Source organism: Homo sapiens, chromosome 15, assembly GCF_000001405.40.
Source record: "Homo sapiens chromosome 15, GRCh38.p14 Primary Assembly".
Taxonomy (NCBI): Eukaryota; Metazoa; Chordata; class Mammalia; order Primates; family Hominidae; genus Homo; species Homo sapiens.
In genome coordinates, this window is record NC_000015.10 from 38,293,720 (window position 1) to 38,310,114 (window position 16,395).

The window sequence follows — 16,395 nt, forward strand, 5'->3', positions numbered from 1 at the left end:
ATGCATGGCTTAATACAGTAAGTCAACTACTATTTTCTTTCTTTCTCTCTATCGCTTATGTCTACTGTCATCTTTTGAACTTCGTATTGGTTCTTAAATATGATATACTTGTGTCATGCTCTCTCTATTGAGTGTCCTTAGCCTTTTATCTACCTGATATACTGCTATTAAAAACCTACATCAAATATGAATACTAGTAATCTCCTATATTCCCATTATGTGGTAATGTATCTTTGCCCACTAGATTATGAGCTTCTACAGGGAGAGGATCATAACTTTTCAATTTTGTTTATGTAGTATATGAATCTCATGGGTTAAGTGAATAGATTATTGAGTAGTAATGTGGTTATCTTCTGAATGTCTGCATTCTACATAGTTTAGAAAGCACGTACTTACACTGTGAAGTACTACATCATCCCAACCTACTTCTATTAAATGCTTCCCTTTTCTCTTCTACCTAGTCTCTGTAATAATGTTTAATATTTGGATGGTTAATATTTACTTAAAATATATAGAGAGCAAAGGGTGTTCTGTCACTATAAATATGCCTCAATGGATAAATAAGTTCCTGTTATACTGTACAAATCTTAAGGCATTGTAAGAACTTCCTCAATTTGGTGGTTGGTGGGGCGGAGGTCAGGATTTTGTTTTAATACTATTGTAATTAAAAATGGAAAAAGTTATCTTTTTCTCCTGTATATATATTACTGTATCTTCGAGAACGTGTTTCCTCCTTTGTAGTAGTTTCCTGTTGCTGATGTAGGCAAATTACCATAAACTTAGTGACTTAAAACAACAGAAATTTATTATATTTTAGCCTGGAGGTCAGAAATACAAATAGGTCTCACTGGGCTAATATCAAGGTATTTCTTGGGTATGTATTATAATAGAAAAGAAAGGTATAGAGAGAAGAGAAAGACAGATAATTTATTTTAGAAAAGTTAAGCTTAAGAACAGTCGACCAAAACAATATAAATGGCCAGCAGGCTGTTAGAAATGTATCCAAATTTAGGAAACTGATCTGAGCAAGAGCCAGAGCTGTACTGCTAGTCATTTTGTTTGTATAGCAGTGGTTCCTAAATTGGTGGGCCAGGGTAATCATAGATGCTATTGTGATTAAAGCTATGTACTATCTCCCCTGAAGAAAATATATATGTGGCAAAAAAACTCACATTTGATTACAATTTTGGGGATTCATAATCCTTTCCAGGAGGTTCACAAAATTAATCTTTGGTGTAAAGGGTAAAGTTGCTTTGCTACAGATTTATTGGCTCTATGAATTTTGGATTCATCGAGGTAACATTTCCTTGCACATTAGATATTTGAGTGCCAGTTGAGTGGAGTTACAGCATCTTCTGTCAAGTAAATCGTGAAATTATTTTACTTTCAAGAGAATAAAAGTATGCTAAGTAAAGCAGTCACGTGTTTTGCAATACGTATTTGCTCTGAGAAATACATTGTTGGGTTATTTCATCATTGTGCACACAAACATCATAGAGTGTACCTACACAAACCTAGATGGGAAAATACACTAACACGATAGCTGATAAACTTTAAAAAAAATCACACAAAAATTTCATAATGTTTTAAGAAATTTATGAATTTGTGTTGGGCCGCATTCAAAGCCATCCTGGGCCACAGGTTGGACAGGCTTGCTGTACAGCATGTTGTTGTACTGAAAAGTGTAGCCAGTTTTAGCACAATGGTAAGTATTTGTGTATCTAAACGTCAGAAAGGTACAATAAAGATACGGTATTGTAATCTTATGGGACTGTTGTACGTGGAGTCTGTTGTTGACGGAAACGTTATTATGCAACACAGGATTGTATTTAGAAAATGAAACCGATGTAAAATTAATGAGAATTCCATAGGAGTCAATATTGTGCTACAATGCTTGTTAATTTTGTTTTCCTGTTATTAAGTTGAATACATATTATGTTTAACATATTAACTAATAACAGTAAGAGGGATAGGGGATAGATAGAATTTTAATTTATGAACATCATGCACAATTATTTTACCTCATAATTGAACATCTGGTTAATGTAAGTATTATAAGCTTATAAATATTACAAAAACTTGCATAATACTGTACTCTAGACTCATACATGTGTCAGCCAATGAGCTAAAAAAATCACAAGTTTCATACATGCATTAGCATGTATGCATCTATAGTACAATATTATGGTCACTATCTGCCTTCTTGGTGGAGAGAAAAGGAAGAGTCGGGAACTTTTGGTTGTGACCAGGAAATGGGAAGAATGGGAATCAGTATTAAAACTGTGCAGTGTATGGTTAGAGTCTTTATGTTCTCTAAGGAGCTTGACTATCAAACACTTTAAGTGTTTTAAGCCTGGTTTTTCCTTATAATGGACACGTAAAACAAGGAGAAAACATAAAATCTCAGATCTCCAGACTATGTCTTCCTTGAGCCTTCTACTTGTCTAGCAGTTGGGTGGGGTATATAATAGGCTTGGTAATCACAAAGCAAGATAGTTCTGTAAGGGAGAAAAGAAACTAAAAAAGCAGGTCACTTTAGGTGAAGGACACTTTGCGTTTCAGACAGTTAAAACTACTAGGGCTTGTAAAAATTTCTGCAACTATTAATTTGATTGTTAATCAAATTACAAATTTTGCCAATATGTAAATTTGAAATTGCTGCCATACATTTATCCACAAAGTGCAATAAAGTATAGCTTTAGAGTTATTCTGGTTCATGTGTAATATAGTACTGTCATTTCAAACAAAACTACATGGTCCAATACAACTGAGACAAAATTTGTCTTCGTGTGTTTGGTCATCTTCTTTTGCCTTTGACTTTATTGAAATACTAGCTGAAAATTTTAGGAAATGAAGCTCATGGATTCTACTAAGAATTTTAGATGATTTGGAACACTTTACTTGTTTTGTAGTTATAATCTCATCAGCAAGTTTCCTCTTGGCTCTACCTCCAAAATATAACCAAATCTCTCTATTCATCTTCGTGTCCATTGTTATCGTCCTAGTTCAATTCAGTATTACCTCTCACCTGGATTTCTACATTAGTAGTTGCTGTGGATTTAATGTTTTTGCCCCCACAAATTTATGTTGAAATTTAAACTCCAGTGCAACAGTGTTAGGAGGTGCGGCCTTTTGGGAGGTGTTTAGCACCTACCATCATGAAAGTAAGAGTTCTACCTTCATGAATGGATTCGTATCCTAATAAAAGAACTGAGGGTGCCCATCGCTTTTTGGCTGTCCACCTTCTGCCATGTAAGGACACAGCATTCCTCCCCTCCAGAGGTCACAGCATTCAAGGTGCACCACCTTGGAAGTGGAGATTGGCCTCTTTCCAGACAATGAACCTACTGGTGCCTTGATCTTGGTTTTCCCAGCCTCTGGACTTTCAAGCCTCTAGAACTGTGAGAAATAAATTTCTCTTTATCATCTACCCAGTCTGGTATTCTGTTAAAGCAGCACAAAATGTACAGAGACAGTAGTTTAGTTCTCCTGCTGTGTATGAAAGGATATATTTGAAATTACTATTCAAATATGATCAGAGATTAGAAATTGAGTTACAGTTTAGGTTTTTAATAAAGAAGGAACATCTTACAAGATTCTCTTAATTTGCTTTAGAATAGAAGCTAGCCCACAAATGTGGTTATTATGTAGTCTGCTCCCACTGCCTCTTAAGATGCATATTGTGTTTATAGTGGTGGAGCTTGCTCCAGCCCATCTCAGGAGAATTTAATATCTACATCAACCCAACCTTCATGCACCCGCACTTCCTCTGACTGTTTCTCTGAGTTGAAGATTGGCAAGAATTGGGTCCAGATAAGAATCAGAGCCTCTGAATAACTAAATAATAAAAAGCTTCCACAAAAGAGTAAATTATGAAGCCAAACCCTTTCAGAGTTTCTATATAAAGAATTATTTTGACCCCAATAATAGATAATTATGGTTGAACATGAAAATTCAATTATTTCCCAGATCCTGATTTTGAATTACCAGGATGGTAGTGTCTTCGGTTTTCAATGCTTTGTTGTCATAATGATAATAAAAAGTAATACTCATATAGTGCTTGTTATGTGTCAGGCATGGTTTACATTTATTATAAGTGAGTGCTGTTATTTCACACGTAAGTTTGAGGCACAGAGGTTTAGTAACTTTCTCAAAGCCATACAGATAGTAAGTTTCTAAGCCAAGATCCAACTTGTGGAAATTTGACTCTAGAATTCTCACTCTTAACCACAACCCAGTGCAACTTTAAAAGTATATTCTCTAAAAAATACTTATGTCCAGAATATATTTTAAAAAACACTTCTAAAAATCATAATAAAGACAATATAATAAAAAATGGTCACAGACTTAAAAACAAGATAAACAAATGGCCAAAAAGCACATGAAAAGATGCTCAACATCATGAGTCATTATGGAAATAGAAATTTAAAACGCTGTGGGATACCACTATATACTCAATACAATGAGTAAAGTTAAGACTGAAAACACCAAGTATTGGCAAGGATGTGGTGCATCTGAAACTGTCATACATTATTGATGGGAATGTGTAACAGTACAACCACTTTGGAAGATAATGTCTTGTATAGTTAAACATGTACCTATCCTGTGACCCGTTAATTCCACTCCTAGGTAATTATTTGAGAAATGAAAAAATGTCTACAAAAAAGACATGTACAAGAATGTTTATAACAGCTTTATTCATAATTGCCAACAACTAGAAAAATCCAAATGCCTGTCCATGTAAGAAAGAATAAATTATGATAGATTTATTCAATTAGAGGACTACTTAGTTAAAAAAAATTAACTTCTGGTACACAAAACAACATGAGAGAAAGAAGTCAGACAAAAAGAGTACAAATGGTAATTCTGTTTGATTCCATTTATTTGAAGGCCCCAAACAGGCAAAATCTCTGTGTTCGGCATAAGGATTTTTGAAGTGATGAAAATGGCCTGTATTTTGATTATCATGTTGATTATACATGTGTCTTATTCTCTTTGGACTACTATAGAAAAATATAAACTGGTTAGCTAATAACAGAAATTTATTTCTTACAGTTTCTACAGACCAATTTGCTTGTTAAGTAATCTAAGCATAACACTTTTCTTTATATGATTTGTGTAAGTGATTCAGATTCCCAGTTGGTAGAATAAATTAAAAATGTAGCTAAACTAAGCATGTTTGTTTCAGCATTTGATTTATAATATTCTGGAACTGTTAGGGACTTCTAGATGCTGCAGTTTAATGTGCTGAAATACAGCAGTTTGTCCTGGTTATAATATTGTAGCAAATGGACATATATAGACAAGTTTTATGGTACCCTGTGTAGTTTGACAGTATTTGCCTCTGGGATCCTTCACAACTTGTTCCGTGGCAATCAGATGTGCTGGAACTACTGAAATGATGAATTGAGGTAGTAGTTTTGTAGTCTTTTATTACAAGAGTAGTCTTTAAAATAAAGGACAACCTTAAAGTCTGTTTTTGGTTTTTGACCTCTTTCAAGTAGGCTACTTTCTGTAGATTTTCATGGAAGTAGTAAACACCTTAGTCACCACATGTTAACTAATGTGTTCTTTGGTTTCTCAAACAAGACTGATGGCTTGGCTGTTTTTTGTTTATGGAAAAGCTAATTCCTGATCTTTGCATCTATTTTAGTAATAGTTATGCACGAGTGCGAGCTGTGGTGATGACCCGAGATGACTCAAGTGGTGGATGGTTACCACTTGGAGGGAGTGGACTAAGCAGCGTCACTGTCTTCAAAGTCCCTCATCAGGAAGAGAATGGCTGTGCTGACTTTTTTATCCGTGGAGAGCGACTCAGGGACAAAATGGTAATGAATAATGTATCTAATACTATAATTTTAGATAATGAATTATCTGTTTAAAGTTATGATTAGTATACTGTTGTGAGTTTTTTTCACCTGTGAATCAGTAATTATGTTTCTGGAGCTGTTTCTGTGTTAAAGGCAGTGAAATACAACATTTTTTTTTCAAACTGAGACTGACATTGATACACATTTGTTGGGGGATGGGGTTGCTGCTTTTCCATTTACGCTTAATGCAGGAGTTAATAAATAGTCCCCCTAGTTATTCAACCGGTAACATCCTGCCTTCCCTTCTCTCAGCTATTCCCTAGACCAGAGATTGGCAAACTAATCCACAGGCCAAATGCAAGCCCACCAATTGTTTTTATATTGTCTGTGAGCTAATAATGGTTTTTATAGTTTTACATGGTTGGAAAAAATTAAAAATAATAATTTTGTGTAACATAAGAATTATATGAAATTCCCATTTCAGTATCCACAAATTAAGTTTTATTCGAACATAGCCAAGGTGATTCCCTTATTAATTCCCTTATTTTCTAGTCTCATAAGACTATCTGGTGGCCAGCCTAATTTTTAACACTATTGTCTTCCATGCAGATGTGTGGTTTCTTACCTGTATACATTTTAAAATTTCAGTTTAACCTTTGATAATGTTATTTGCTCTTTTTTAATTAGTATGGAAAGCTCCTTCACTTTCTTTGTTTCATTTGTGGGCCAAAAACAACTGATTACATCCGAAAAGCTGAGTAATGTTAGTGTCATTTCTGTATCAAGAAAAAGAAGAGCATACACTTAGACGCAAAATAAAAATAAAGTCCCAAAATAGAGCCTTGAAAATAACGAGAATTCCCTTTAAATATATATTTGTGGATCTGTTTATTTAGCATCTTTGTTATTTCTTATGTTTTGAGCTCCAAATAATTCTTCCATGCATGAACAGTTTGAATATGACTTACTTTCAGTTTGGGGGCTTGGTTTCTTCATATTTTTTTTACATCTGAATCATTGTAGTAATTCAGAAAGTTGCTTAACTTTCACTGCCCCAATTTCTTCCCCACTTAAAGGGAGAGTTATCCTAAATCATCTCGAAAGCCTTCCTACACTAATGTTTTATGAGTTTATGATTCACCCATGCTACACATTGTATAATGTGTCTCAGCCAAAATATGTTTAAGTAGAGAACCCCGATTGAAGTCAAAAGTGAAATATGATAAATATGTCATCTTTAAAAAGTTTAAATTTTTAAAGGTGGTCTGGCCTTGGATAAAATGGGATCTGCCATATACTAATGCTTTTTTAAGCCTGGAGACATCTAAGAAGGCGCCTATGATGGTATAATGCTTCTGGTCTGAGCTAATGGTAACTGGGGAATATTGTTGGAGAAATTGTCTATTTTAGAAACCGAGTAAAATGGTGAAAATCTAAGGCATTTTTTTCTAGATAAACTTTTTCCTAAGAATACAAAGGTAGTAGAAAGTAAAATGTGGATTAAGAGAGAAAAATGCTTGCTCGAAAAATTATAAGAACAAGGAAAGGATGATCTAGATGTGAAATAGAAAAAACTCAGTGAAACAGAATATTGGATATAGTAGAGATGGACAGTTTAGGATAATAAGGGACCAAATCTGCATAACTAATTATGAGTCTGCACAGATTGATGGATTGGGTGATTGTTCAGAGTGTGGCTTTAACATAAATAAAGCTAGTAAAAATAAACCTGAGATTCAGAAAGAACAGAAACTTTTATTCCCTATGACAGCTTAAAAATCAAGAGCACTTACCCTAGTCCTAGGGTATAGAATATTGATAGACTAATAAGAAAATAGATTATTTTGCTAGAAGTAACAGGAATCAGAACACCTGATGTTTCACGTAGCCATTTTTCTTTGAGGAAGCTTGTTACTTGTGAAACGGGGATAAGAAACATCTCTCAGTATTGCCATAAAGGAGAGCTTTCAGTCAGAAATTTGCCATATTTCTTAGAGGGATTAACTATAGTATAGCATTCTAGGTAGGTTATGGGGACTTGTGTGATCAAAGGCAGAGGCGATAACTCATGGCTGTAAATTGAAAATAGCGAAGTCTTGTGAAATCTCAAGACAAATGAGACGGTGATATTGAAATGAGATTAATTTGCACCCTCTGCTGGGTAATACACTGTGATCAAGACTACTTCTGAAAAGTCCAGCAGTAGAATTGACATATACATACATTAGTTTACAATATCACTGCATTTTGAGATCACTAATGTTCATTTCTGTAGTCATTGATTTTATTCATTGGTTATTCATTGGTTTTATTTTAACCCATTTTCCTGAGTTCTAGTTTCTTGATTTTTTTTTTTAAAGAAGTATTATGTTTACTGAGTCTGTAAGTCTACAGGGTTCCTCCCAGATTAATGGTAGCTTTCCTTTAAAAGCCTTCTCGGTGAATAAACAGTGCACTTTAGTAGTAGTTCTGATGTAATAGTTATGTGAAAGACAGTTGCTGAAAACTGTTCTGTAACCATTTTGCCTGTGGATCCCATCTTAGAATCCTCTACCTTAGATGAATTCTAGAAGTGAGATTCTTGCCCCTCATATCCCATGAATTCATGCCCTTGAAGAAAGAATAAATATTCAGAAGAGGAGTATATGACCACTCGTGTGGCTAATAAATACAATATTTTAATGAGTGTTTGTAAGTCAGAATACTGATAACAATAGTGAAGAAGATGGCCCTTATCAGTTATGAGAGAACCACTTTCACAGAAGACTTTTCCAACCTTTGATTTACAATTACAGGTACTAAAAATAAGTCTTGTTACGATTCCCAGAAAGTTATATACTTTACTGTTTTATTTTTATTTTTTTATTTTTTATTTTACTTTATTTTATTTTTTTAAGAAAGGGGGCACAAATGAAGAGCAGGCTGCCTGAGACTTGTTCAAGAAGACATCATTTTGTGTAACTGAGTCAGTGTTTACTCATTCACTCATTCAGTGATCCTATGTTGCTTACCTATAAAGCATCTTTATGATGCCTACAAAAGGTGGAGTTTATTTCCTGGATTATCCTTTGATACTCTAAATTGGAGCTTTCCAACCTGTGTGCCATGAGTGTCTGGGGCCTCCAGACTGGTTGCCTTATGTTACTGTTCTATATGTGCCTGAGGAGAGAAGAGTTGGAAAGCACTGCTCTGCATAATTGGCTTTCATGCTTTATGGATGATTGAGAAAGAAAGAATTTGAAAGAAACACCAGGGGTTGGTGTTGTAGCCTAAGAAAATGAAAGTACTACCTTTCTTTGAGACACTTGGGGATGGAATGATCGTTGTTAAGGACAGATTCTGAGAAAGTCTTGGCCGGGCGTGGTGGCTCATACCTGTAATCTCAGCACTTTGGAAGGCCGAGGCAGGCGGATCACAAGGTCAGGAAATAGCGACCATCGTGGCTAACACAGTGAAACCTCATCTCTACTAAAAATACAAAACAAACAACAACAACAAAAAATAATTAGCCAGGCGTGGTGGCACGTGCCTGTAGTCCCAGCTACTCAGGAGGCTGAGGCAGGAGAATCGCTTGAACCCGGGAGGCGTAGGTGGCAGTGAGCTGAGATTGTGCCACTGCACCTCCAATGTGGGCAACAGAGCGAGACTCTGTCTCAAAAAAAAAAAGAAAAGAAAGTCTTACTTGATGTGTGTGAGCTATAGCCTCTGTTTTCTTCTAAATCTTCATAGCCTTGATTTCTTCCTTTAATTCTTTAATACAAGTTAGTATTACCTTGGAGCACATATAATTTAAATTGTTAACTAAAATTTAACTGTTCATTTGTGTACATCATAGAGTTCCACATTGCCTATTTAGTTTTCATTAGATATAATGGTTCTTCTCTGTAAGTAGGACACTTCTGTCTTACAAACATTTTATCAAAATGTTTACCATTTGTATAGGTTATGTTATTTGACCATCTTTATCTGATACATGGTATGTGACATGTAAATTTAAAATACCGAATTATAATACAGCTTAAGATTTTTTAAGTTTCTGAATTAACTAGTATCAAAAGTTTGCTAAAATATCTGTTTACTACTAAACACAGTTTTTAGTTATCATGGGGATCTAAAGTAGTTTTTCTTTAGTTTATATAATAGATAATAAAATATTATAAATTTGCTAGTATTATTAAAATTTGCTAAAGCTATGCTTTTTAAACCATATTATGGGCTAAGGTATGACAAAAGAATAGGCTGAGTAGAAAGATAGGAATCTTTTAAAATGCTTGAATTCCTGAAGATGCTCTGTGGGGACAAGAAAAAGCAAGGTTATAAGACAGTTACCATTATAAACTTAGAGTGACAAAGATAATGTGGAAATGGAGAAAGGAAAAACTAGAAATATTTCCAGTTTAAGAAGTTGCCAAAGAGATTAAGGAATTGTTTTTATGATTAATAAGTAATTAGGTTGTCGATAAAATTGTTTATAGAAGTTGAAGTGCCTTTAAGATAATGGTTCTATTGTTTAAAAAGAGCATGTTTTAAAAATAAGGTTTCTTTCCAGTTACTGTAGCCTAAAACGAAATTAGAATATTTCTTTTCTAGGAAGAAAATAATGTGGTTATAATATAGCAGTAGCTTTATTAAAAATGAGACTCACCCCTTTCTATCATGGGGGAATCTTGAAAGACCAGGGAAACATCTTTCTGCCTTGGGTTGAACTTTATCGAAGTACAGAACAAGAATTTCCTGCTAAGCTTTTCCACTGTGCCTCTGAATTATTCCTTTGTGAAACTTCAGTCCTACAGAAGTGGTCCTCCACTAAAAACCAATTGCCTTAACTAACTTTTCCTTAGGATTCAGCCTTCCTAGCAGTTTTGTTTCTTGAAAGATACTAGTTCCCCTATTCACCGTAATACCACAGTTAGGAAAAGAATGGGAGTGGGAGTAGAGATAGTGGAGTATTGTTATTGTTCCTTATTCCCCTTACAAGTTATTAGTCTATCACCCACATATATAAATCCCATTATTGAATCTGTGTAGCATTCAGATTAGCATCTATTAGCTTTCATTTTCATCTACTCATCTTAGCAATTTCTTCCCAAAGCCAGATTTTCTACATCTGAGCCTCATCATCATTCTTGGCTACTTTTCTTTGCAGTCTCGACCTTCTGGTCTTCATTTCAGCAGGCTACTTTCCTGGATCTCGTTGTTACCCAGAACTGTTCCATTTGAGGAATTTTATAATTTCCTGTCATTTCTTTTTTATTCCCCTCCTACTGCTCTTCAATTTCATGTCTTCGCTATTACATTGTGCCTCCAATTTTTTCCTTAACTAGATTCCTTCTGGCTTCAGTATTTTTTTATTGTTTTCTTTTTTAATTTAATCTAAATCTTTTCAGTCAATCTCTCAAACAACCCTTTCATTCATATTTCAGTAGACAATATGTTGCTAAGTTTTTTTTAACCTTAGTTGACAATAAAGGAACTTCATTGAATCCTACAGTATTTTCCTTCAGTACTCTTTTCTTAGGCCAAGCACGGTGGCTCACACCTGTAATCCCAGCACTTTGGGAGGCCAAGGCGGGTGGATTGCCTGAGGTCAGGAGTTCGAGACCAGCCTGGCCAACATGGTGAAACCCCACCTCTACTAAAAAAATACAAAAAATTAGCTGGGCATGGGGGCAGACACCTGTAATCCCAGCTACTTAGGAGGCTGAGGCAGGAGAATTGCTTGAATGTGGGAGGCAGAGGTTGCAGTGAGCCAAGATCACGCCATTGCACTCCAGCTTGGGTAACGAGAGTGAAACTGTCAAAAAATAAAAAACAAAAAAAAAAAACTTTTTTTTTTTTTCGTTTTAAAGGTGGGTTGTTCATTCATGCAATAAATATTGTTGAGTGGCTACTGTGTGCTAAGCACTGTTGTAGGCACTGGGAATATGTAAGTGAACAAAAATAGAAATCTCAGTTCTTGAGGTAGTATACATTCTAGTGGAAGATAAATATTACAATAAGTAAAACAGGAAAATGATATGCTAGACAGTGCTAAGGGGAAAAAACGTAGGAAAAGGGAGTATAGGGAAGTTTTTTGCTGGGTGTGGGGATTGGCTAAAATGTATATAGACACAGTGACCAAGGAAGGCCTTACCAAGAATGTAGGTAACATTCGTGTGAAGATTATTTATATGGTGATTAAGATCTTATGTTTTAGTTTGTATGTTCAGATTTTCAAATCTTCAGTATTCTTAAAGTAGAATAAATTTATCTTGTTTCAGTTCTTATGTTAAACTATATAAGATCTTGAAATTGTTTGGATTTGGTGAATGTTCTCAAAATGTGCATCAACAATAGTTATAAACTTAGGAATTATCAGTGATCCCTCCATTTATTCAAACAGATCTTCTTTATTCTTGATTCTGTTTCATTCTTTTAATCTCTACCCCTCTCATATCTTTCCTGCAAATAAGGCTACTATTTTTTTTTTCATTGCCCAGTTTTACCTGGCTCCTTCTAACTTCTGTGTTATTTACCATAATTAAATTTCTAAAACTTGGGTCTAATACTTCTTTAGGATTCCCCACTGATTTCCTAGAGACAATTTCATCTCCACATAGAAAATGTTTATAATCTGGCCCTGTCCTCCTTTGCCTTTAATCTGTCTGCCTTTTTTCTCAAAGGTAATCATTTCCATGGTATTTCCTTACTGAGTTACTTGTAGTTCATCAGAAGTACCATGTATAAGAAAATGCCCTTCCCCTTTTACATTAATAAATATGGCACTATATAGATAGCATATTGAGAGATTATGTGGAGTAGAGAATGTTGATAAACATGTTGCTAATGCTCAGAAAACAATAATGGCAGGAAACGGTTTCCTTTTTACTGTCATAGATGGAAAAATAGGAAAACTGGGTTAAAGCACCTTGGACAAACAATTTTGCTGTGAAGAATTGGAATTGAGATAAATGATAATAATAACCAGTCCAGAATCCCATTCTTTTCATTATTAACCCATTGAAAAGGTAATAAATTATGCTATTAATTACTTTCTGTACAACCATGAATTTTGTAGTTTTTCCCCAGCAGTTGTTTTGCAACAGTTAATTATTTAATATTGCTAGCATACCTTGAAGAGGGGGAAGAAGTCTGCCTATTAGCATTTCTGTTCTCTTTCCCCGGAGCCTTGTGGGAACTGGTTCCTGAAAATTAAGATTTAGAAAATGTCCCAAATTATTATACCTTCCTGGTTGCCTTTATTTTCTCATTTAGCTTAACACTTTCACCTTTCTTCAGCAAACTCTTTATTATTACATTTCCTCTTTCTTCTTTCAAACCCTGCATTTGGCATCTGACATATTTCCTCTTTACAATTTATTTTAAACTAACATCATTCCTTTCTGTAGTTACTGCTTTTCACTGGTTGATTTGGTCTGTCAGCCTCATCAATATTGTCTTGGCTTCATTGTTCTCTTTTATACCTGATTGTGGTATATTTCGTAATTTATTTCACATCCTTTCCATTATCTTCCAATTGCCATTAAACTGTAATAGCCTCTATCATAGCTAAATTAAAGCCCAAACTCTGACCTCAAATTATCGACCATACTTATTAGCTTTCCAAATGTTTCTGCACTACTTTTGTTTTATTACATTCTAAATTATAATTTGAATGTGTCATGCTTTTAATTGAGTGGTTGACTGTAGTATTCCTTTGGTTAATCAACCACTGAGTGCCTTCTATGTGCTTGACTTCCTGTATTAGTTTCCTTGGGCTGCCGTAACAAAATAACGTAGACTGAATGGTTTAAACAACAGAATTTATTTTCTCACAGTTATGGAAGGTGGGAAGTCCAAGGTATTGGCCAATTTTCTGTTTCTGGTGTGGGCTGTCTTCCTGGCTTTCAGACTGTCACTTTCTCAAGATGTCCTCACATGGTCTAGAGAAAGAGCTCTGGTGTTTCTTCCTCTTATAAAAGCACTAGCCCTATCAGATTAGGGCCCCACCTTTATGACCTCATTTAACCTTTATCATTTCCTCCCTGGCTCTATTTCCAAATGTAGTCACCATGGATATTAGGGCTTTAACATATGAATTTGAGGGGAGCACAATCCCTTCAGTCCATAGTACTTCCTATTCCATTGTACTGTTTGTCTGTTGATTGTTAGTTGAGTAGTATTCTATGATATGCATGTACACTCTCTAAATTATGGTAACTTTAATAAGAAGTTTAGTATCTGCTAGTGCTAGTTTTTCTCATTAGACTTACTTTAACTTTTGTGGGGAGGGGTATATTTTTGCTTATTCTTTCAGAACTCCAGACAGTTTATGTTTTTTCGCATGTAGGTACATTTACTTAAGTTTTTTCTTAGGGTTATAAAAATGTGGCAAGGGGCTATTGTAAATGATATATTTTAAAAATCATTTTTGGTATCTTTTGAAGCTCTTCATGCAGCTTTTAGAATAATGTTAGACAATATTGGTGATATAATATCTATTTTCTTTGGGAATTTAAAGGAATTTCTAATGTTGCACAGATAAGTATGATGTCAGCTGTTGTCTTGAGATGTCCTTTACCATGATAAGGAAGTGTTCTTATGTTCTCCACCTCCCCAGACTAGAATTTGATACTAATTTTTATGAAATCTGATTTTGCAAATGTCTCACAGACTTTTTAAATTGAAATTTTTGTTGAGATAATTGTAGATTATTAATTGCTATTGTAAGAAATAATAAATGCTGTGTACACTCTAACCTGTTTTCCCAGTGGCAACATTTTGCAAAACTATATTGTCATATCACAGCGAGGATATTTCTGTTGATACAATCTATCATATTCAGATTTCCTCAGTTACTTGTATTCATTTTTGTGTGTATTTTATTTAAGTCTGTACAGTTTTATCACGTTTTCACTACCACAGACAAGATGCAAAACAGTTTAACAACCACAAGAATCTCTTCTTTCTGTTGATTTTATCACCACATCTATTTCCGTTTTTGCCAGGCAACCACTATTTTGTTCTCTCAATTATTTCCGTAATTTTGTCTTTCAAAAAATGTTATAAAAGTGTAATAATAAGTATGTAACCTTTCAGGATTGACCTTTTTTCTTTCATGATCATTCTCCGAGGGTTGATCCAGGTTATTGAGTATCTCCAGAGTTTGTTCCTTTTATTGTTGAGTAGTAGTCTGTGATATGTATTTATATGACTTACTGAAGGACATCTTGGCTGTTTCCAGTTTGGGACTAAATATAACGTTGCTGTGAACATTCACATACATGTTTTTTCTGTGAATGTAAGTTTTATTTCTCTGGGGTAAATGACCAGGTATGCAGTGGCTGGGTTGTATGGTAGTTGCATATTTAGTTTTGTTAAGAAACTGCAAAACTTTTTTCTAGAGTGGGTTTATCATGCCACATTGCCACCAGCGGTTTATGAGCAATCCATTTTCTAAGCATCCTCACCAGCATTTCAAGTAGCCACTATTTTTTGTTTTACTCATTCTGAGAGATGTGTAGTGATAATAACTTATTGTGGTTTTAATTTGCATTTTTCTGATGACTAATGATCATCTTTTCATTTGATTATTTGTACCTTCTTTGGCGAATGTCAGTCTTTTTGCCCATTTTCTTATTGGATTGTTTGAGGGGTTTTCTTGTAGATAGCGTCTTCTTCTAGTGCAGTGGCGTGATCTTGGCTCGCTACAACCTCTGCCTCCCGGGTTCAAACGATTCTCCTGCCTCAGCCTCCCAGGTAGCTGGGACCACAGGCATGCATCACCACACCTGGCTAATTTTTGTATTTTTACTAGAGATGGGGTTTCACCATGTTGGCCAGGCTGGTCTTGAACTCCTGACCTTAAGTGATCTGCCCGCCTTAGCCTCCCAACGTGCTGGGATTACAGGCGTGAGCCACCGTACCCAGCCTTGCTTTTTTACTATTGTGTTTGGAGAGTTATTTGTATATTCTAGCTACTAAGTCCTCTGTTGGAATACGTGGTTTGAAAATGTTCTCTCCCAGTCTGTAGCTTGTCTTTTCATCTTCTGAACATGGCCTTTTGCAGACCAAAGTTTTAAATTGTGATAAGGTCCCATCTATCAAGTTTTTCTTTCATGGATCATACTTTGGTGACAAGTCCAAGAACTCTTTCCCTAGCCATAGGTCATGAAGATTTATCCTGTGTTTTTTTCCTGAAAGTTTTATATAATAGTTTCACCTTTTACATTTAAGCCCATTGTCCATTTTAAGTTAACTTTTGTGTAAATTGTGATACTTAGATCAAGGGGTTTTTTTTCCTATGAATGTCCAGTTTTTCCTGCACCATTGTTGAAAAGATTGGATTCCTCCCTTGAATTACTTTTGTTCTCATTAAAAATCAGGTAAGCATATTTGTGTTCTTTATTATGTTCCATTTCTCTATTTGTCCATCCCTCCACCAGTATCACACACTGTATTATTGTGGCTATATAAGAAGCCCTAATACAGAGTAGAATGATTCCTAATACAGAGTAGAATGATTCCTCCCATGTTACTCTTCTTTCTCAATATTGTTTTAGCTATTCTGGGTCTGTGCTTTTCCATATAAATTTTAGACTATTCT

The 16,395-nt window shown here is 34.9% G+C and overlaps 1 protein-coding gene across 5 annotated transcripts in view; it reads left to right on the plus strand.

The window, feature by feature from the left end:
* The window catches only part of SPRED1 (sprouty related EVH1 domain containing 1), a 104,414-nt gene that overhangs the window by 40,884 nt on the left and 47,135 nt on the right, over positions 1–16,395 (plus strand). For all 5 annotated transcript variants that reach the window (XM_047432199.1, XM_047432200.1, XM_005254202.4 and 2 more), the window contains one exon: positions 5,654–5,828. In XM_047432199.1, coding sequence (XP_047288155.1) covers positions 5,685–5,828 — 144 coding nt within the window. In that variant the 5' untranslated portion in view covers positions 5,654–5,684. The remainder of the gene's footprint in view (positions 1–5,653; positions 5,829–16,395) is intronic.